The following is a 20,725-nucleotide window of genomic DNA, read 5'->3' as shown; positions in this document are numbered from 1 at the left end:
GGTGAAAGGATCACTTGAGCCTAGGAGTTTGAGACCAGCCTGGGCAACATATGGAGACCCCATCACTAAAAAAAAAAAAAAATTAAAAAAAAATTAAAAAATTTTCAGGCTGCCAGGAATGGTGGCTCACGCCTATAATCCCAGCACTTTGGGAGGCTGAGGTGGGTGGATCACCTGAGGTTAGGAGTTCAAAACCAGACTGGCCAACATGGTGAAACCCCATCTCTACTAAAAATACAAAAATTAGCCAGGGGTGGTGGTGCACATCTGTAATCCCAGCTACTTGGGAGGCTGAGGCACGAGAATTGCTTGAACCTGGGAGGCAGAGGTTGCAGTGAGCCAAGATTGCGCCACTGCACTCCAGCCTGGGAGACAGAGTGAGACTCTCAAAAATAAAAATAAAAATAAATCTGGCAACCCTAAAAGCTGAGGCTCAAGTGAGGGCACAGAAACAGCCACCTCCCCACCCCCACCTCTTTTTCCCCTTGCTGCTTGAGTCACCTCCGTGTGAGCGATTGTTGACCCAGTTCCAGGCGCCTGCCCTCATCATCAGGCACCTGACTAGTGTGCCTGCTGGGCCCCGCCTGGGCTGTCTGCCCCAAGAGGCCCCAAGGAAGTGTGAGGGATAGGCTAAGCCATACCCTGAAGCCCTAGCCTGTCACAGGAGACCACCCCACTGTATGAGCCCAGAGACAGTCACTCGGTCACCTGTCCTTTCTGGGCTTTGAAAGGGTGTGAGAGGGGAGAGGGATGGGGACCAGGGAGCCAGGCTGGGAGCAGGGACTTGGTAAGAGGATTCTTGGAGAGATCTTGGGATGGGAGCTTTAAGCTATTGCAGAAAGCTAGCCCGGAAGGGAGATTAGTGCTCAGTGCTTTCACAGATTACAGGAGAGGAAACTGAGGCTCAGGGAGGCTCAGGCTGAGGCCTCTTGACTGGAGGGCTTATAAGCTATAAAGTGCCCACACCAGGGTTCTGGGTCCAGGCAGGGCTGGCTTCATAGCCATGTGACGAGGGCCCTGTGCTCAGAAGCAGCCTGTGCTTTGTTTAAAGCTCTACAGGCCGGGTGCAGTGGCTCACGCCTGTAATCCCAGGACTTTGGGAGGCCAAAGCAGGATGACCACTTGAGCCCGGGAGCTCAAGGCTGCAGTGATATGTGATTGCAACAATGCACCCCAGCCTGGGCAAGAGAGCAAGACTCTGCCTCTAGGAAAAAAAAAAAATTTAAAGCTCTGCTGTCCTATCTTGAAATTCTTAATTTTTTTTTTTAAGACAGAGTTTCACTCTTGTCACTGTGGGCGGAGGATTACCCAGGTGCCGAGGCAAGAGATTGAAGGCACAGACTGTTTCAGTATAATAAAGAAAATAGTTAGAATGAGAATAGTTATAATACAAATTAGATATAGAGATGGTCATGGGCATTATCAATCATTAGTATAGACATTATTAATTATTAGCCTTTAATATGACTCTTTGTTGTATTACTAATATAACCAAGGAATAACCGGAGGGTATAGGGTCAGGTGCTGAAGGGACATTATGAGAAGTGACCAAGAAGGCAAGAGGTGAGCCCTCTGTCACGCCCTCATAAGGGCCGCTTGAGGGCTCCTTGGTCAAGCGGTAACGCCAGTGCCTGGGAAGGCACCCGCTACTTAGCAGACCAAGAAAGGGAGTCTCCTTTCCTTCGAGGAGTCAGGAAACACTCTGCTCCGCCAGCTTCTTGTGGGAGGCTGGATATTATCCAGGCCTGCCCGCAGTCATCCCAAGGCCTAAACCCCTTTCTGTGGTGCTGTGCTTCAGTGGTCACGCTCCTTGTCCACTTTCATGTTCCTCCCATACTCCTGGATTCCTCTTTGAAGTTCGTAGTAGATAGTGGTAGAAGAAATAGTGAAAGCCTTAAAGTCTTTGATCTTTTTGATACATGCATAGAAGAAAACGCTGACATATGCTGCCTTCCCTCTCTGCTTTGGCTACCTAAAAGGGAAGGGCCCCCTATCCCATGATCACTTGACTTGCTTGACCTTATCAATCGCTTGGACGACTCACCCTCCTTACCCTGCCCCCCTTGTCTTGTATGCAATAGATGTCAGTGCCCCCAGCCATTCGGGGCCACTACCGGTCTCCGCGTCTTGGTGGTAGTGGTCCCCAGGGTCCAGCTGTTTTCTCTTTATCTCTTTGTCTTGTGTCTTTATTTCTTATGATCTCTCATCTCCGCACACGGGGAGAACACCTGCTAAGCCCCGTAGGGCTGGACCTTATATGTCACCCAGGCTGGAGTGCAATGGCGTGATCTCGGTTCACTGCAACCTCCGCCTCCTGGGTTCAAGTGCTTCTCCTGCCTCAGCCTCCTGAGTAGCTGAGATTACAGGCATCTGCCACCATGCCCAGCTAATTTTTGTATTTTTAGTAGAGACGGGCTTTCACCACATTGGCCAGGCTGGTCTCAAACTCCTGATCTCAGGTGATCCATCCGCCTCAGCCTCCCAAAGTGCTGAGATTACAGGCGTGAGCCATCGCACCTGGCCAGAGTCCTAATACTTTTGAACAAGGAGACCCACATTTTCATTTGCACTGGACCTCCAAACTGTGTAGCCTGTCCTGGTGCTAGACACAGGCCACTCTCAGCCTCTGTCTCTCAGATTTAAAATGCAATGCAGGGGGGCTGAGGCAGCCAGATCATTTGAGGTCAGGAGTTCGATAGCAGCCTGGCTAACATGGTGAAACCTCATCTCTACTAAAAATACAAAAATTAGCCGGGCATGGTGGCGGGCGCCTGTAATCCCAGCTACTCGGGAAGCTGAGGTGAGAGAATCAGTTGAACCCAGGAGATGGAGGTTACAGTGAGCTGAGATCACGCCACTGCACTCTAGTCTGGGCGACAGAGCAAGATTCCGTCTCAAAATAAATAAGTAAATTTTTTAAAAAAATTAGCCAGGTGTGGTGGCACACCCCTATAATCCCAGCTACTTGAGAGGCTGAGGCACTAGAATTGCTTGAACCAGGAGGCGGAGGTTGCAGTGAGGCGAGATCATGCCACCGCACTCCAGCCTGGGCAACAGAGCGAGACTCTGTCTCAAAACCAATAAATAAATTAATTAAATAAAATACAATGCAGATTGACAGGGAATTCCTTCTTCATTATAAAGATCCAATGGGATTAGAGGTAAGAAAATGCTTTGTCAACTGAGAATGCACTAAAAACAGCAGGCATTTTTCTAGTTCAAGAAGGATCTGGGACTCGGGCCAGGTCTCCAGAAGCCCTCCCAAGCTGGACACGACCCCTTGCTCCCCAGGGGCTCCATCATTCTGGACCAGCTCCCCACACGGCAGGCAGAGATAGCAGGAGCAGACAGGCTATGTCCTTTCGGAACTATTCCAACTCATGAGTGGTAGGGCTGGGGGTCCTGGGGGGAATGCTCCATATCAGGACAGAGCGTCTCCCTTTAGGCAGAAAGGGAAACCAGAGCTAGGGGTGGGGGGTTACTGGGCTATGGGGGGGTAATGAGGGAGGAGAAGCAGGAACAGCCCAGTGCCCAGGCTAGAGGCTGTGGCAGGGTATTTGGGAACAGAAGTACTGACCACAGTCAGGAGACCCATGTTCCCATCCCAGCATAAGCCGTGAACTTGCCCAGTGACAGTGGATAAGCCACTTCTCTGTTTTGTTTTTCACTCAATAACTGTTTGTTTTTTGTTTGTTTGCTTTTTAGACACAGGGTCTTACTCTGTCACCTAAGCTGGAGTACAGTGGTATGATCATGGCTCACTGCAGCCTTGAACTCCTGAGCTCAATTGATCCTCCCACTTAAGTCCCCAGAGTAGCTGGGACTACAGGTGCACACCACCGTGTCCGACTAATTTTATTTTATTTTTTGGTAGAGATGGGGTCTGGTTGTATTGCCCAAGCTGGTCTCGAACTCCTGGGCTCAAGTGATCCTCCTAAAATGCTGGGATTACAAGCGTGAGCCATGGCACTGTTTTAACAAAGTGTCATATGCAAATACTTTTTTTTTTTTTTTTTGAGACACGGTCTCGCTCACCCAGGCTGGAGTGCAGTGGCGCGATCTCAGCTCACTGCAACCTCCACCTTCCAGGTTCAAGCGATCCCCCTGCCTCAGCTTCCTAAGTAGCTGGGACCACAGGTACACACCAACACGCCTGGCTACTTTTTTGTATTTTTGGTAGAGACAGGGTTTCACTATGTTGCCCAGGCAGGTCTCAAACTCTTGAGCTCAAGCGATCCGCCTGCCTCAGCCTCCCAAAGTGCTGGGATCACAGGCATGAGCCACCGCGCCCGGCCACAAATGCATTTTAATCAAATTATAACAAAAAGCAGCACCCTTGTCCTCTCGCCTTTCCCACCCCAGACAGGCAGGTGGCAGGTGCCAGAGGACAAGAGTCAGTGCTTTTCTGCAAGCCTAGCAGACAGGCTGGGAGCAGAGCAAACGGGCCTCTTCACTGTCTGCTGAGCTTGGATTCCAGCGTGGCCTCCTGCCAGCTGGGTGACTTTGGCTTATTGTTTTGACCCTAAATGCCTTCATCTGTGAAATGGGCTCATTGGAATGCCTGTCTCCCAGGGTGCTCAGGAGGCCTGAATGAGCAAAACATCTTGTGGAGTGCCTGGCACATCACAGTTCCTCAATAAACAGTCACTTCCTCCTCTCTCACTCCTATGTTTGAATGAATTTTGACCAGCAAATTGCACTTATTCAACACAAAGAAATTCATTTTCCAATTAAACTTTACAAAATCAATGATATAAAATTTGATTTTACTAGAGTGGAAAGAAAAAAAAAAACCAAAGACAGAAACCCAGGTCCTCTAAACCCTTCCCAGCTCCTCCATGACACAGCCCCTGGGCCCACATCTGAGAACACTGTGTCCTTCCCCTGGGAGGGGTGGCTACCGGGTCAGGAAGGCCCATGGGGGGCCAGGCGCCACTTGGTGGTCTGGCCAGTGTCCTGTGTCCCTATGGGCATGGGGAGTACCCTTCACCACCCTGTTCCTTTTGCTAAGGTTGAGAATGGTTGGGGTTGTTTCACCTCTGAGTGGTCCCTGAATTGCTTGGGGACTCTAGGAGTTGGATCCTATCTGTTGTTAAGGGCAGCAGGTAGACAGTTTGGGTGGTGGCAGTGGAAGGACAGGCGGGCACTGTTGACTCTGGCTGTGAGAGCTGGGAGCAGGAGTAGAGATGGCAAGAATCAGGCCTGTGTTTCAAATGCAGAGTTCCTGTAACACTCCAGAGAATGATCTCCATTCACAGGCATATGAGATGCTAAAGTCTTATCCAGTCATTAGCTAGGATGCAGTGGTGTTGGTGTCTGAGTGCAAATCAATCAGAGCCCAGAGTTTTGCCCACCTCACCAGCTCCACTGGATGCCGATGCCAGCTCAGCTCACGGCCCTGATCCTCCCTCCCAGCCCTCCCAGCCCTGCCAGCCCACCTGAGTGCCCCTGGCCTTTCTCCAGGTGGGCCCCCTGTGAGTCAGGAGATGTCTGCTCCAACTGACTTGAATGGATTACTCAACTCCTCCAAGACTCGGTTTCCTCATCTGTAAAATGTGTACACAATAACCCCCGCTTGCCCTCCACACAGTCATGTGAGGTTCAAACGGGATGATGGATGTGAAGAGATCTTGTAAACTGGCACATTAAAAACAGGAGGAATTCTTTTTAGGACATCAAAGGGGTTCCTCTTGTTAACCCGGTGGGGACCTGTCTCTGAAGCAATAGGCCAGGGCCTAGGTGAGGAAGCTGCCCCACTCAGAGAGCTCAGAGAGGTTGGGTCAGAGTCATCTCCAGAACCCAGAGAAGGGCAGGGAGAAGTCAGCTGCACGGAGGACAGGAAGGGAGAAGGAGCGGCCCGCCCCAGGCCAGCTTTCCCTGTCATGCACTGTTGCCACACCCCTCATCTCTCAGCTTAGACCTTGGCAGCCCTAGGAAGGAAGTGGGGCCAGGAGTACTATCCTTTCAATTTTATTTTATTTTTTATTTTAATTTGGTTATTTATTTATTTTTGAGACAGAGAATCGCTCTGTTGCCCAGGTTGGAGTGCAGTGGTGTGATTTCAGCTCACTGCACCCTCTGCCTCTCAGGTTCAAGCGATTCTTGTGCCTCAGCCTCCCAAGTAGCTGGGATTACAGGTGTGCACCACCACGCCCAGCTAATTTTTGCATTTTTAGTAGAGATGGGGTTTCACCATGTTGATCAGGCTGGTCTCGAACTCCTGGCCTCAGGTGATCTGCCCACGTTGGGCTCCCAAAGTGCTGGGATTATAGGCGTGAGCCACCACACCCAGTTTTCCATTTTAAAGATGAAGAAACTGAGACCCAGGATGGAGACAAGGTCCCCTAATTCTCTGAATTAGCAGAGAAATCTGTACTCAAATACATATAAGGGGACTTTAATTCAATCTCTTCTGCTAGGATGATAGCTGGCATACTTCATTTCAGTGTTTTTAAAAGGTAGGTCCTGTTACTGTTTATTGAGATTTATATTGTGCCAGGTTCTGTATTATGCTCTTTAATCTGTAACACAATCCTTTGAGGTAGTACAATTATTATTCCCATCTTACAGTGAAATGACTAAGGCTGGGCCCTGTGGTGTAATCCTGACACTTTGGGAGGTGGATGCAGGAGGATCACATGAGCCCAGGAGTTTGAGACCATCGTGGGCAACATACTGACACCCCTTCTCTATAAAAAATAAACAAAAATTAGCTGGGCGTGGTGGTGCGTGACTGTGGTCCCAGCTACTGGTGGGGGGAGGGGGGAGAGAGCTGAGGTGGGAGGATCGCTTTAATCCAGGACGTCGAGGCTGCAGCGAGCTGTGATTGTGCCACGGCACTCCAGCCTGGGCAACAGAGTGAGAGACCCTGACTCAAAAAAATATATATATATATGTATTAGCCAGGCGAGGTGGCACGCTCCTGTAGTCCCAGCTACTTGAGAAGGTGAAGCACTAGGATCACTTGAGCTCAGGGATTCAATGCTGCAGTGAGCTATGATCACACCACTGCACTCCAGCCTGAGCAACAGTGAGGTCCCGTCTTAAAAAAAAAAAAAAAAAAAAAGGCCAGGCACGGTGGCTCACACCTGTAATCCCAGCACTTTGGGAGGCCGAGGCAGACAGATTACCTGAGGTCGGGAGTTTGAGACCAGCCTGACCAACATGAGGAAACCCTGTCTCTACTAAAAATACAAAATTAGCTGGGCGTGTACTTGGGAGGCTGAGGCAGGAGAATTGCTTGAACCCAGGAGGCAGAGGTTACAGTGAGCCAAGATCGTACCACTGCACTCCAGCCTGGGCGACAAGAGCAAAACTCCATCTCAAAAAAACAAAACAAACCAAACAAAAAATGAAATGGCAAATGACCTTCGGTAAAGTTCTTGAAGACAAAACCCAATTTTCCATACAACTGCAGAGTGGTTTTATTCCTGGAAAACTCAATGCATAGCAGAATATAAGTATTCAAAAGAAGTATGGTTACAACCTGGGCAGCATAGCGAAACCCTGTCTCTACAACAAATACAAACGAATTAGTCAGGCAGAGGAGTGTGCTACTCGGGAGGCTGAGGTGGGAGGATCGCTTGAGCCGGGGAGGTCGAGGCTGTAGTGAGCTGTGATCGTGCTACTGCACTCCAACCAGCGACAGAGTGAGAGACCCTGTCTAAAAAAAAAAAAAAAGGTGTGGGTATATGGGTAAAACAGAACCATTTTCCAGGTCTGAGAATTGCAAACATTTCCTCATGTATGTAATTGCCCAGAAAGACAGAAGGAAATTGAGAGATGTGTTCTTGTTGTTGGAAATTCCCTATTGTGTCAGACTGTCCTACACCTTACAGGGCATTTAGCTTCCCTGACCTGCCATCTATCAAATGCCAGAAGCCCCAGTCTTGTGACAACCAGAAATGACAGTGGCCGCATAAATTTCAAAAAATGTCCTCTAGGGGGCAGTAACGCTGCTGTTTGGAACGAGTGTCCAGCACGCTCTCAGCACCTGCTGTTTAATTTAACTCTGTCTTTGAGATTGTTTTACATAATGATATAGAGATCTGCAGCCCTCACCCCCCACCCCACCTGGATAGGTCAGGGAATGCCGCCCTTTCAAGGCTGTGTGGATTTGTCACATGGAGATAGGGTCACGTACTTAACAGTTCCCTTTCACGGGATGTTCTGCTGTTACAAAGAAGGCTGCAATGAAGAAGGCCAAGCTGGTACCATCATTTCACACTTGTATGAGCAGATGACTAGAGAAACGCTTAGAAGTGGCCTGGCTGGATCAAGGGTTTGGCGTTTAGAATTTTCATAGCTATGGCTAAAACTACCTTCCATATTAATCCACGCTGTCCCAGCAGAGCTCTGGGACCCAGGCTGGGGGACATGCTGGAAAGTCTTAGCCAGGACCCTCTCCCTCTAGGGGCCCACCTCCTCAGACCACACCCAGGGCCCCCCAATAAAGCCTTGGGTGCCTAGACACTTCCAGCCCACCTTCTCAGGCCACAGAGGCAGGGGGAGACAGGGAGGACTTCCCCAAATTGGGCTGATCCCAGCTGTTTTATATATATATATATATATATATATATATATATATATATATATATATACACACACACACACACACAAATATACATATATATACACTCACACACATACACACACGTATGCATATATATATATATATATATCTTCTTTTTTTTTTTTCTTTGAGACGGAGTCTCGCTCTGTCACCCAGGCTGGAGTGCAGTGGTGTGATCTCAGCTCACTGTGACCTCCACCTCCTGGGTTCAAGCGATTCTCCCGCCTCAGCCTCCTGAGTAGCTGGGATTATAGGCACCCGCAACCACGGCTGGCTAATTTTTGTATTTTTAGTAGAGATGGGGCTAACATTTTGCTACACTGGCTTTTTTTTTTTTTTTTTTTTTGAGATAAGATCTTGCTCTGTCACCCAGGCTGGAGTGCAGTGGCACAATCACTGCTCACTGTAGCCTCCACCTCATGGGCTCAAGCAATCCTCCCACCTCAGCCTCCCAAGTAGCTGAGACTACAGGTGCACAACACCACACCCAGTTAATTTTTTTTTTGTTTTTTATAAGAGACAGGGTCTCCCTATGTTGCCCAGGCTGGTCTCAAACTCCTGGGCTCAAGCGATCCTCCTGCTGCCTCAGCCTCCATTACAGGCATGAGCTACCATGCCTGGCTTCTTTTTTTGCTGAGCCATTTAGGACTAAGTTACAGACATCACAACACTTTATTCATCCCTAAACACTACAGTATGTGTTTCCTAAGAACAGGGCATTCTCCTACAAAATCACAGTATTGTTATCACTCCAGAAATTTTAACACTGATAAAGTAATATTGGCCAGGTGCTGTGGCTCACGCCTATAATTCCAGCACTTTGGGAGGCCGAGGTGGGTGGATCACCTGAAGTCAGTAGTTCAAGACCAGCCCGGCCTACATTGCAAAACCCTGTCTCTACTGAGAATACAAAAATTGGCCAGGCATGGTGGTGCATACCTGTAATCCCAGCTACTCGGGAGGCTGAGACAGGAGAATTGCTTGAACCTGGGAGGCCAGGCATGGTGGCTCATGCCTGAAATCCCAGCACTTTGGGAGGCCAAGGTGGGTGGATCACCTGAGGTCAGGAGTTTGAGACCAGCCTGGCCAACATGGAAAACCCGGTCTCTCCAAAAATAAATAAATAAATAAATAAATAAATAAATAAATAAATAAATAAACAAAAAAAAATTAGCCGGGCATTGTGGTACAGAGCAAGACTTCGTCTCAAAAAAAAAAAAGAGTAATTAGCATACAGACCTTATTCCCTTTTCTCCACTTGTTCCAATAAAGTCCTCCATCACTCCCCTACTCCTTTCCACCCTCAGAATCCATTAAAGATCAGACTACAGGCCGGGCGCGGTGGCTCACGCCTGTAATTCCAGCACTTTGGGAGGCCGAGGCAGGTGGATCATGAGGTCAGGAGATCGAGACCATCCTGGCTAACAAGGTGAAACCCCGTCTCTACTAAAAATACAAAAAATTAGCCGGGCGCGGTGGCGGGCGCCTGTAGTCCCAGCTACTCGGGAGGCTGAGGCAGGAGAATGGCGTGAACCCGGGAAGCGGAGCTTGCAGTGAGCCGAGATTGCGCCACTGCAGTCTGCAGTCCAGCCTGGGCGACAGAGCGAGACTCCGTCTCAAAAAAAAAAAAAAAAAAAAAAAAAAGATCAGACTACATTTGCTATGGGCCTGGGATTTGGACTTTTCCTCTGGGCAGTAGGGGGCCTCAGTGGTTCTGCAGCCCTGGGCCCTGCTTTGGGAGACTACTCTAGATGCAGACAGTGCTGGCCCTGGACTCAGAGGTGCTGGTGGGGTCCCATCCATGGGTGAAGCCCTTGAGTCCTCCATCAGCCCCAGAGATGTCTTCCTAGGCCCTGGGGGTTCAAGCTGGAGGGGACACTGCCCCTGTCCCAGGGCTTGCCTTGGACAAATTCAGCCTTGTAATAAACTGGCCCCTTGGGTATCAGGTGAGGACTGGTCCTTCAGTCTCCACAACCACCCCTGCAGCTGGTACTTTCTTCTCCCCTTTTACAGTTAAAAAGGGAGAGTTTCTGCTTTTCCATCTGTGCGAGGAAGCTGCAGATGGCCACATGGGGCCACATGTTGCCTCTGGAAGGACCACTGGGTGCATAACCAATGTAAACCTTGCCTGAGTCAGCCAGGCCAGTGGCCACCTCTGCAGCCTTCCAGGCTTGCTCCTCGAGGGTGGGCGTGTTGAGTCAGGGCTCCATAGCTTCTGGAGCATGTCAAAGCTCCTCCTCCACCCTGAACTGCCACGGTCATTCTTGGGAGAGACTTCACGAGGTCCCGAGGTGTCCCATCACCCATGGATAACCTCTCCAGCGGCCACTGCTTTGGTCACACCCATGAGGCCTCATGGTTCTCTAAGCTTCAAAGCATTTACATTCTGGAGAAGGTAAGGACTGTGATCCACGCGGCTCTGGGCCCCTGGCAGGTCTCACAGAACTGTTTATTGACTCTTCATGTAGCTTTCAGAGACATGATATTAAGAATCTGTACGTTAGGCAGAGCAGGTGATATCGTCCTTATTTTCAGATGAGGAAACAGGTGTATCCACAAATCTCTAAGGATCCTATTTAAGAGCATCACAAAAAGAAAACCAGAAATGGAGTGCAAGGCCCTCAATGTACTGTTGGGGAAACAGGCTCAGAGGTCCCCAGGTTTGATTCCTGGCTGTGCTACTTTGCACTGGTGACCTTCGTTCTGGGTATAAGAAGTTATTATTATCCATCACTGCATACTGGAGGCAGAGGTGGGGCCAGAATCTGGGGAACTTTCCATGCCACAGGTTCTAGAGAGCAATTAACAACAATACAGTAACAGCAATAGTAGTAGTTGTCATAGAATGCTTGCCACTTGCCAGGGTTCTAAGCACGTCACAGCCATTAATGCATTAAATCCTTACATAATCCCTAGAGGAAGGTGCGTTATCATCACCATCAGCCCATTTTGTAAATGGGGAAACTAAGGCTTAGAGGCCTTAAGACACTTGCTTGTAAGAGGCAGGTGAGATGGAAAGCCAGGTCAGGGTGCTGCTGGAACACAGCACCTGGGTTGAGAACTGGACAGGGTGGGAGCCCATCTGGCTCAGGCACGTTGGGGGGTCTAATGCTGACTCTTTCATTTGAGTGACCTTGGGGCGATTTGACCTTTGGGGCCCCCCTTTTCTCATCCATAAAACGGGAGAGTGTGTGCAGGGAAAGTCTGGGTTCTCCTCCACACGAGTAAAGTCACTACACACAAGAGCCCTCAGTTTCCTCCCCTGTTCCGTAAACCAAAACGTCTAAGTTGTAAAGAACCTTGGCGGAGAGTAGGCTTTCACCTTGACCGATAGTTTATTTATTTATTTATTTATTTATTATTTTTTGAGACAGAGTCTCCCTCTGTCATCCAGGTTGGAGTGCAGTGGTGTGATCTCGGCTCACTGCAGCCTCGACCTCGCGGGCTCAAGCGATTCTCTGGCCTCAGCCTCCCAAGTAGCTGAGACTACAGGTGCGCACCACCACCGCTGGCTAATTTTTGTATTTTTAGTAGAGACGGGGCTTCGTCATGTTGGTCAGGCTGGTCTCGAACTCCTGTCCTCAGGTGATCCGCCCACCTCGGCCTCCCAAACTGCTGGGATTACAGGCGTGAGCCCGACCTTGACTGATAGTTGATTAAATTATTTCGTGTCATTTCTGAACTCAGCTTGAGATGGGAAGGGAATGGAAAGGACGCCTTCTCTCGGGCCCTTTTGCCCAGCGCCCCTTTACAGGTCACAGATTGCACTCTCCCTGCTCCCAAGCTGGAGTTTCAGAGCTGTGGGGGAGCTCAAAGGCATTTTGTCAGGGAAAGCTGATAGTTGGCCCCTCGGAGTCCACGTGCTAACCCGGCAGGCGCCGGCTGACTGGGCTCCTCCAGCGCCGGACGCGACCAGTGGGGGCCTGAAGGGCGGGGAAGGCAGAGACGTCAAAGTCGAGGCCTACCCTTCTTAAAGGCGCAGGCTAGGAGTACCCATCTCCCCGCCCGCCCCCCCCCGCCTCCACCCGCCCGCCCGCCCCCCTCCGCCACCGCCCGCGCGTGCTGGTTTCTCTGTTAGGACAAATAAGCAAGATAGCACAGAAGTTCTAAACGCGAAGTGGGTGGTGGGGCCTGGGGTACGGGGCTGCCCCGGGAAATAAAGTGTCTCCCTGACAAGCGGGATCGGAGAGGGCAGCGCTGGACTTAAGCCTTCCTGTCTCCCGGGGAGGCAGTGTGGAGCCCTGGGAAAAGCACCCGGCCGGTTCGAATCTCCGGCTCTTCACGTCGAGCCTCAGTTTCACTTTCTGTAAAACGGGGTAATCTATTTCTTTTTCAGACGGAGTTTCGCTCTTGTTGCCCAGGCTGGAGTGCAATGGCGCAGTCTCGGCTCACCGCAACCTCCGCCTTCCGGGTTTAAGCGATTCTCCTGCCTCAGCCTCTCGAGTGGCTGGGATTACTGGCATGCGCCACCACGCCCGGCTAATTTTTTGTATTTTTAGTAGAGACGAGGTTTCACCATGTTGGTCAGGCTGCTCTCGAACTCCTGACCTCTGGTGATCCGCCCGCCTCGGCCTCCAAAAAGGCTGGGATTACAGGCGTAAGCCACTGCGCCCGGCCTTTTTTTTTGAGACGGAGTGTTACTCTGTTGCCCAGGCTGGAATGCAGTGGTGCGATCTCGGCTCACTGCAACCTCCGCCGGCCGGGTTCAAGCGATTCTCCTGCCTCAGCCTCCCGAGTAGCTGGGATTACAGGCGCCAGCCATCATGCCCGGCTACTTTTGTATTTTTAGTAGAGACGGGGTTTCACCATGTTGGCCAGGCTGGTCTCGAACTCCTGACTTCAAGTGATCCGCCCGCCTCGGCCTCCTAAAGTGCTGGATTACAGGCGTGAGCCACCGCGCCCGGCCTGTGGTAATCTATTTCAACAATAACCTACTGCAAAGAGTTTTGAGACTCAGAAGAAATCACGATACGAGAGCAACCAACACCAAAACGTCGATGCCCTCCCGCACTCAGTGCTCTTCCTCTCCGCGCAGAGTCATTCCGGGCCTTAGGCGAGGTTGTGATTTGCCCAAGGTCACGCGAAGGTGGGATCTGGCTCCCCATGGCTCTCCCGTCTCCCCCGGCTTGCTCACGTCCCAGCCCGCCCGGCCCGGGCTGCAGCTCAGCTAACCCAGTGGCGCACACCCGCGCGGGGCCCTGTGGTTTACAAAGCGTTTTGCAGTTGCAGGCCTGTCCTGTAACCTGAAAAATGGGGGCGATGCTAAGGCCGGCGAGAGAAGTCGCCGCGAAGTTTTCAAGTCTCGGCGGGTAGCCCGGCAAGTAACTTCGTCGTTATTGTGTGGTCTCCCGGCGATCTCGAAGAACTCATTCTCACTGCCGCCGCCACGCACCTGAGGACACCGAGGAAGAGGGCCAGTGCGTCACCCTCGCCGTCCAGAAGGCGCTGGGGTTTCCAGTGCCGCGCGCGGCCGGGGCGGGGCTGGTGAAAATGCGCTGTTAAGGCCGGCGCGGCGGCTCACGCCTGGAATCCCAGCACTTTCGAAGACCGAGGTGGGCGGATCGCTTGAGCCCAGGAGTTCCAGACTAGCCTGGGCAAAATAGGGAGACAAAAATAAAAGTAACAAACCAGCCGGGCGTGGCGGCGCGCGCCTGTGGTCCCAGCTACTCCGGAGGCTGAGGCAGGAGGATCGCTTGAACCCGGGAGGTCAAGGCTGCAGTGAGCCTAGATCGCGCCACTGCCCTCCAGCCTCGGCGACAGAGCGAGGCTGAAAAAGATGCTGTCTAAAAAAAGATGCTGGAAGTGCGTGCTGCTGCCACGTTAAGCGCGACGTGGAGACCGCGAAGTTGGCCGGCAGCTCTCAGCGCTGGACAGGCATGGAACTCGCCCGCGCGGCCCCGTCAAGGGGGCGGGACCGTCGCAGGTCCGGGCGGAGACGCGAGTGGGCGGAGCCGGGGACACTCCGGGCTTGCGGCTGGTCGGCCCGCGGCGGGCGGGGCCTCGTGGCGCGGTGTAGGGGCGGGGCCCCCTTGGCTGCTTTCGGCGTCGGCCTAGGTGCGCTGCGAGCGCGCGCGGACCGCGCACAGGCGGCGGAGCCGGTATGGGCCCGCCTGACCCTGGGCGCCGCGCCGCACGAGCACCAGCCTAGAGCCAGGTAGGCGGCACTGGGCCGGGGCTGGGGGCGGAGACGGAAGCGGGGGTCTCCGGGCGGCCGTGCGAGCCAGGGCAGGTGCTGGGGCCGTCGAGCTGGCGTGGTCCCCCTCACCTGGCGGCTCTCCGCCGTTCGGGGCCGGGAGTGTCGCCGAGGGTCGGGGAGACGTCCTGGTCCTACGTTCCTACTTCCCGCTCTCCCGGCTGCGCCCCGGGCCTGCATTTTGGGGCGGGAACCCAGAGACTGCTCTTTCTCTCCGGGCCCCGGGTCTGGCCCGTCCGGCCGGGCGGGGAGGGCCGGGCATCCCAGCCCGCAGTCCTGAGGAGGCGACGGGCCCTTCTTGGTCACCGGATCTGTTTACACGTCACCCTCGATGCCCGGCCGTCCCTCCACGCCCAGTAACTTGGGCTCTCAGGTGCCTGCCCGGGGCCTTGGTGCTGGAGTGGGGGCTGTGGGGGCAGCACAGGTACTCTGATTTTGGGGCCACGAGGGCCAAATCCGCGCCTGCACGTAGGAGGTGCGCAGTGGACACGTGCGAGGTGGACGAGGGAAGGACCCTGGCTCCTACTGCATTCGAGCGATAGGTCTGGCACCCTAGCTTCCTTCGGAACCACTCCTGAGTGACCTTGGGCAGGCCACCTCGTCTCCCCGAGCCTTAGTTTTCCCCGGCGGAGGGGGGCGGACAGTCCCTGCTTTAGAGGTCATTGCCAGGGTTGTTGAGGCAACAGATGTTTCGAGGGCGGTGGATGAGGGTTGGGTTAAAGTCTCACAGTGGGCCGGGTGCGGTGGCTCACGCCTGTAATCCCAGTGCTTTGGGAGGCTGAGGCGGGCGGATCACGAGGTCAGGAGATCGAGATCATCTTGGCCAACATGGTGAAACCCTGTCTCTACTAAAAATGCAAAAATTAACTAGGCGTGGTGGTGCGCGCCTGTAGTCCCAGCTACTTGGGAGGCTGAAGCAAGAGAACCGCTTGAACGGGGGTGGATGTTGCAGTGAGCCAAGATGGTGCCACTGCACTCCAGCCTGGCAACAGTGCGCAGAGCGAGACGCCGTCTCAAAACAAAAGTCTCACAGTGGCCCAGCCTCCTTTCCTGCCATCCCTGGAGTTGTGGTCTGTTTGAGGTTTGGTTTTCAGGACTGAAGCTTCAAGATGGCTGACCAGGACCCTGCGGGCATCAGCCCCCTCCAGCAAATGGTGGCCTCAGGCACCGGGGCTGTGGTTACCTCTCTCTTCAGTAAGACCTAGGGGAGGTGGGGTGGGGGCGGGTGGGGATGGGGCAGACCGGAGATTGGAGGCTGTGTGGTCCTGGGGGAGGAGTCCTAGGGGTGGGGTCCTGAAAGGAGCCTTCAGACCCGCTTCCTCCCCCAGTGACACCCCTGGACGTGGTGAAGGTTCGCCTGCAGTCTCAGCGGCCCTCCATGGCCAGCGGTGAGTACCTGACCTGGAACTAGTGAGGGGTGGTGCCTGGGCAAAAGAAAGATCTCCCAGAGGCTGGCCGTGGTTTCTCATACCTGTAATCCCAGCGCTTTGGGAGGCTGAGGTGGGTGGATCACCTGAGATCAGGAGTTCAAGGCCAGCCTGGCCAACGTGGTGAAACTCTCTCACTACTAAAACTACAAAAATTAGCCGGGCTTGGTGGCATGCGCCTGTAGTCCCAGCTACCTGGGAGGCTGAGGCAGGAGAATCGCTTGAACCGGGAAGGTGGAGGTTGCAGTGAGCTGAGATTGTGCCACTATGCTCCAGGGTGGGCGACAGAGCAAGACTCCATCTCAAAAAATAAAATAAAAAGATCTCCCAGAGATGGGGTCCCTAGGGCGGGTGGGGGCTCTCCTGACTTGAGGGGCTGCCTTGTATTTTAGAGCTGATGCCTTCCTCCAGACTGTGGAGCCTCTCCTATACCAAATGTGAGTGCCCCAAGCCACAGGGAGCATGGGAGGGTGCAAGGGGGAGACAGTCCTTGTCCCTGTCCCCAGGGCACCAGTGGGCTCCACAGCCATGGACTAGCATATACTCCCAGGTCCTGCCAGCCAGTCCTGTGACCTGCACCAGAACATCCACACAGGGACCTGGCCTTTACTGGCCTTCCAGGGATAGGGGCCCACTGCCTCCCTGCAAGGTTCTAGGATCCTGTCATTATAATGCCCCCTGCCTTTCCCCAGTGCCCTCCTCTCTCCAATCCACAGGGAAGTGCCTCCTGTATTGCAATGGTGTCCTGGAGCCTCTGTACCTGTGCCCAAATGGTGCCCGCTGTGCCACCTGGTTTCAAGACCCTACCCGCTTCACTGGCACCATGGTGAGGAGCAGCTGGGTCCGTAGGGATTCGTCGGTGTCCGTGAGGAGTTCGGTCTGGCTGGGCAGCAGACCCAGGAGTAAAGGGATTGGGCAAGGCACGCAGAGGTAGCCGGTTCCGTCAGGAAGTGCTTCCGGAGAAGGCAGTACCTCCATGGGGTGTTTGTTTTCTTTTAGACAGAGTCTCGCTCTGTCACCCAGGCTGGAGTGCGGTGGTGTGATCTCAGCTCACTGCAACCTCTGTCTCCTGGGTTCAAGTGGTTCTCCTGTCTCAGCCTCCGAAGTAGCTGGGATTACAAGCGTGCACCACCACCTGCCGCTAATTTTTGTATTTTTAGTAGAGACAGGGTTTTGCCGTGTTGGCCAGGCTGGTCTCGAACTCCTGCCTCAAGTGATTTATCCGCCTTGGCCTCCCAAAGTGCTGGCTGGGATTACATATGTGAGCCACCGTGCCTGGCCTCCATAAGGTTTTTGAAGGGTGACCAGGTGTCCGCCTGGACCCAGCTGCTGGGGTACTGCATGTGTAGAGGCAGGGAGGCCTGAGGGCTGTGGGCAGAGGCTGAGGGCGTCAGGCAAAGGCCTAGCCTGGGCCAGCCCCATCACAGACATCACTTGTGTCCCTCCTCTTCCCCTGGGCTGGTGCCTGCTTGGCCAGGATGCCTTCGTGAAGATCGTGAGGCACGAGGGCACCAGGACCCTCTGGAGCGGCCTCCCCGCCACCCTGTGAGTAGCCGGGTCCTGCACCACTCTCCTCTGGTACTTCCTGACCCTTTGCTCCCTGTTGAATGGCTAGGTGGGGCAGGTGATGCTTTAAAAGTTTGGGTCCTTTTGGGAGTCCCAGCTAACCTCTCTCTGTATCCCCAGGGTGATGACTGTGCCAGCTACCGCCATCTACTTCACTGCCTATGACCAACTGAAGGCCTTCCTGTGTGGTCGAGCCCTGACCTCTGACCTCTACGCACCCATGGTGGCTGGCGCGCTGGCCCGCCGTGAGCATAGTCTTGGGCCTTTGACCTCCCTCTGTCCCCACCTCGGCCCAAACCCAGTCAGTCCCAGCTCCCAGCCCCAACCTCTGCCAGCCTAGGGATAGGGGGGTGTTCTAGGTCCCCAGACCTGGGACAGCAGGTAGGTGATGCCATGTAAGACCTGTGATCTCACTTCTCCCCATTGTCACCCCCAATCCCCACACAGTGGGCACCGTGACTGTGATCAGCCCCCTGGAGCTTATGCGGACAAAGCTGCAGGCTCAGCATGTGTCGTACCGGGAGCTGGGTGCCTGTGTTCGAACTGCAGTGGCTCAGGGTGGCTGGCGCTCACTGTGGCTGGGCTGGGGCCCCACTGCCCTTCGAGATGTGCCCTTCTCAGGTAGGCACCCAAGCTGCAGGGGGTGGGTGAGGGAACCCTGGGGTGATGCACAAAGGGTCTACAGCCAAGTCCCAGCTTTGTGACTAGTGACCATGAAGTTACTTAGCTTTTCTGAGCCATGGGTTTCTCATCTGTGAAGTGGGCCTAGCAGGTAGAGTATTTGCCCAGGCGGTCAGGAGATTAATTCCTACAGAGTGCCTGCTTCTGAGCCTGCATGTAGCAGACAAGACTCACAGCTGGGAGGGAGTGGTGGCAGTGAAAGGTGGACGGTCTGGGGCCACTTCCTTGCCCTTCCCGTCTCTAATCAGTGCATCCCCCACCCCAAGCCCTGTACTGGTTCAACTATGAGCTGGTGAAGAGCTGGCTCAATGGGTTCAGGCCGAAGGACCAGACTTCTGTGGGCATGAGCTTTGTGGCTGGTGGCATCTCAGGGACGGTGAGTGGACTGGGCTGGAGGTGAGGCCAGCGGAGGTCTCCCTGCGGGGGGCCTGAGGATTTTTGGAGATGCCCAGAAGCAGACCCCATGAGGCCTTTGTCCCTCCCAGCCGCAAGAGCCATCTGGGAGGTAGGGGTGGGGGTCCAGGAAGTGGAGCTGAGCCCTCTCCCCGCCCACCCCACCAGGTGGCTGCAGTGCTGACTCTACCCTTTGACGTGGTAAAGACCCAACGCCAGGTCGCTCTGGGAGCGATGGAGGCTGTGAGAGGTGAGGGCCCAGATTGCCGTGGCAGGGGACAGGTGGGGTCCTGAATGGGGTCTCACTGAGCCGGCCTCGCGTTTGCAGTGAACCCCCTGCATGTGGACTCCACCTGGCTGCTGCTGCGGAGGATCCGGGCCGAGTCGGGCACCAAGGGACTCTTTGCAGGTCAGTGTGTGGGTGTCGGGGGTGGGGGCATGGCGGACCTGCGACCTGACCCCTGACACGGGCCTCCTTTCCACTGCAGGCTTCCTTCCTCGGATCATCAAGGCTGCCCCCTCCTGTGCCATCATGATCAGCACCTATGAGTTCGGCAAAAGCTTCTTCCAGAGGCTGAACCAGGACCGGCTTCTGGGCGGCTGAAAGGGGCAAGGAGGCAAGGACCCCGTCTCTCCCACGGATGGGGAGAGGGCAGGAGGAGACCCAGCCAAGTGCCTTTTCCTCAGCACTGAGGGAGGGGGCTTGTTTCCCTTCCCTCCCGGCGACAAGCTCCAGGGCAGGGCTGTCCCTCTGGGCGGCCCAGCACTTCCTCAGACACAACTTCTTCCTGCTGCTCCAGTCGTGGGGATCATCACTTACCCACCCCCCAAGTTCAAGACCAAATCTTCCAGCTGCCCCCTTCGTGTTTCCCTGTGTTTGCTGTAGCTGGGCATGTCTCCAGGAACCAAGAAGCCCTCAGCCTGGTGTAGTCTCCCTGACCCTTGTTAATTCCTTAAGTCTAAAGATGATGAACTTCTGCCTGGTGCCTGTCCCTCTGGGGCCTGGGGTGGCTGGGAGGGAGGCTTGGGAGGGACCCTGGTGCTGGTTTGGCTGCCCAGAGTGGCACCTATGAAGAGGACCTCTCCAGTTTGGCGAGAGTCGGGGTGAGGACCTAGAGTGTAAGGGACCACAAGTAGACATTCTGGTGGTGAGGTCCCTTTGGGGACCTCCCCCCCATGTTAGGGTTAGAATTGGGGGTGGTAGGGGCTGGGCACGGTGGCTCACGCCTGTAATCCCAGCACTTTGGGAGGCCGAGGCAGGTGGATCACAAGGGCAGGAGATTGAGACCATCCTAGCCAACACGGTGAAACCTCGTCTCTACTAAGAATACAAAAATTAGCTGGGCATGCTGGTGGGCGCCTGTAGTCCCAGCTACTCGGGAGGCTGAGGCAGGAGAATCCCTTGAACCTGGGAAGCGGAGTTTGCAGTGAGCTGAAATAGTGCCACTGCCCTCCAGCCTGGCAACAGAGCGAGGCTCCATCTCAAAAAAAAAGAATGGGGGATGGTAACACCTCTCCTTAAGGGCACACTTAAGCGACAGCAGAGGAGTGAGGGTTGCTTAACTGCCAGGCTCTGGCCTAACAGAGGGGTCTGCAACTTTGGGCCAAAGCACCATTGCTGAGGCCAGCACAGGGCACTGGCCCTACAGGGTGTGCCTCCATCCTGCCCCTGGCGTGCTCGGCCGCCTCAGCCTGGTTTTGAGCAAGTTCTTAAAGGCTGTTGGGTTGGGGGGCAGTTGCATGTCTTGGGCCTGCCCTAGGCAGACCTAATATTTTGGACACAGAAGCTACCCCCTCCCTGAGTGCTGGCCTGCCTGTCCCCACAGGGCACATGCTAGTGCTGCCTGACCTTGGTCTTCGGTCAGGCACTGACTCCACTTCCTTCAGACCTCA

The 20,725-nt window shown here is 54.1% G+C and overlaps 1 protein-coding gene and 1 long non-coding RNA gene across 22 annotated transcripts, besides 9 other annotated features; one reads left to right on the top strand and one right to left on the bottom strand.

Moving 5' to 3' along the window:
• Nucleotides 1-11,888: 11,888 nt before the first annotated feature.
• Nucleotides 11,889-13,984, bottom strand: LOC124904009 (uncharacterized). The gene is made up of 2 exons (XR_007065768.1): nt 13,816-13,984; nt 11,889-12,495 (listed from the first exon to the last, which is right to left on the bottom strand). It is a non-coding gene; the product is annotated as an uncharacterized LOC124904009 (long non-coding RNA).
• Nucleotides 12,190-12,867: a transcriptional cis regulatory region, noted in NCBI's record as "candidate enhancer chr17.2878 targeted for multiplex CRISPR interference". NCBI's record gives its function as "positively regulates SLC25A39 gene expression in K562 cells {active_cell/tissue: K562}" and the evidence as "EXISTENCE:mutant phenotype evidence [ECO:0000015][PMID:30612741]".
• Nucleotides 12,742-12,841: an enhancer, noted in NCBI's record as "active region_12259". NCBI's record gives its function as "activates an Ori minimal core promoter by ATAC-STARR-seq in GM12878 lymphoblastoid cells {active_cell/tissue: GM12878}" and the evidence as "EXISTENCE:reporter gene assay evidence [ECO:0000049][PMID:35858748]".
• Nucleotides 12,840-13,691: an enhancer, noted in NCBI's record as "H3K27ac-H3K4me1 hESC enhancer chr17:42403114-42403965 (GRCh37/hg19 assembly coordinates)". NCBI's record gives its function as "activates a minimal SCP1, AML or CMV promoter by ChIP-STARR-seq in naive H9 embryonic stem cells {active_cell/tissue: H9 hESC(naive)}" and the evidence as "EXISTENCE:reporter gene assay evidence [ECO:0000049][PMID:30033119]".
• Nucleotides 13,532-13,581: an enhancer, noted in NCBI's record as "active region_12258". NCBI's record gives its function as "activates an Ori minimal core promoter by ATAC-STARR-seq in GM12878 lymphoblastoid cells {active_cell/tissue: GM12878}" and the evidence as "EXISTENCE:reporter gene assay evidence [ECO:0000049][PMID:35858748]".
• Nucleotides 13,762-13,821: an enhancer, noted in NCBI's record as "active region_12257". NCBI's record gives its function as "activates an Ori minimal core promoter by ATAC-STARR-seq in GM12878 lymphoblastoid cells {active_cell/tissue: GM12878}" and the evidence as "EXISTENCE:reporter gene assay evidence [ECO:0000049][PMID:35858748]".
• Nucleotides 13,872-13,951: an enhancer, noted in NCBI's record as "active region_12256". NCBI's record gives its function as "activates an Ori minimal core promoter by ATAC-STARR-seq in GM12878 lymphoblastoid cells {active_cell/tissue: GM12878}" and the evidence as "EXISTENCE:reporter gene assay evidence [ECO:0000049][PMID:35858748]".
• Nucleotides 14,112-14,301: an enhancer, noted in NCBI's record as "active region_12255". NCBI's record gives its function as "activates an Ori minimal core promoter by ATAC-STARR-seq in GM12878 lymphoblastoid cells {active_cell/tissue: GM12878}" and the evidence as "EXISTENCE:reporter gene assay evidence [ECO:0000049][PMID:35858748]".
• Nucleotides 14,402-14,831: a silencer, noted in NCBI's record as "silent region_8589". NCBI's record gives its function as "represses an Ori minimal core promoter by ATAC-STARR-seq in GM12878 lymphoblastoid cells {active_cell/tissue: GM12878}" and the evidence as "EXISTENCE:reporter gene assay evidence [ECO:0000049][PMID:35858748]".
• On the top strand, nt 14,614-19,809 carry SLC25A39 (solute carrier family 25 member 39). Of its 21 annotated transcripts, none has more exons than NM_016016.4 (12): nt 14,614-14,726; nt 15,860-15,959; nt 16,094-16,153; nt 16,585-16,629; nt 16,909-17,018; nt 17,670-17,737; nt 17,879-18,003; nt 18,206-18,379; nt 18,706-18,815; nt 19,001-19,082; nt 19,161-19,241; nt 19,321-19,809. In NM_016016.4, the coding sequence occupies exons 2-12, from the start codon at nt 15,875-15,877 to the stop codon at nt 19,434-19,436; spliced, it is 1,056 nt and encodes a 351-aa protein (NP_057100.1). In that variant the 5' UTR covers nt 14,614-14,726; nt 15,860-15,874; the 3' UTR covers nt 19,437-19,809. The 21 variants fall into 21 exon arrangements, 16 of the variants coding, with proteins under 16 accessions (NP_057100.1, NP_001308170.1, NP_001137252.1 ...); NM_001321241.2 differs by having other exon boundaries at nt 18,688-18,815; NM_001143780.3 differs by having other exon boundaries at nt 16,885-17,018.
• Nucleotides 14,852-15,071: a silencer, noted in NCBI's record as "silent region_8588". NCBI's record gives its function as "represses an Ori minimal core promoter by ATAC-STARR-seq in GM12878 lymphoblastoid cells {active_cell/tissue: GM12878}" and the evidence as "EXISTENCE:reporter gene assay evidence [ECO:0000049][PMID:35858748]".
• Nucleotides 19,810-20,725: the final 916 nt, after the last annotated feature.

The sequence above is a fragment of the Homo sapiens genome, chromosome 17 (genome assembly GCF_000001405.40).
Source record: "Homo sapiens chromosome 17, GRCh38.p14 Primary Assembly".
NCBI lineage: Eukaryota > Metazoa > Chordata > Mammalia > Primates > Hominidae > Homo > Homo sapiens.
The sequence above is the reverse complement of the archived record's forward strand: the minus strand, read 5'-3'. Positions and strand labels throughout refer to the sequence as shown.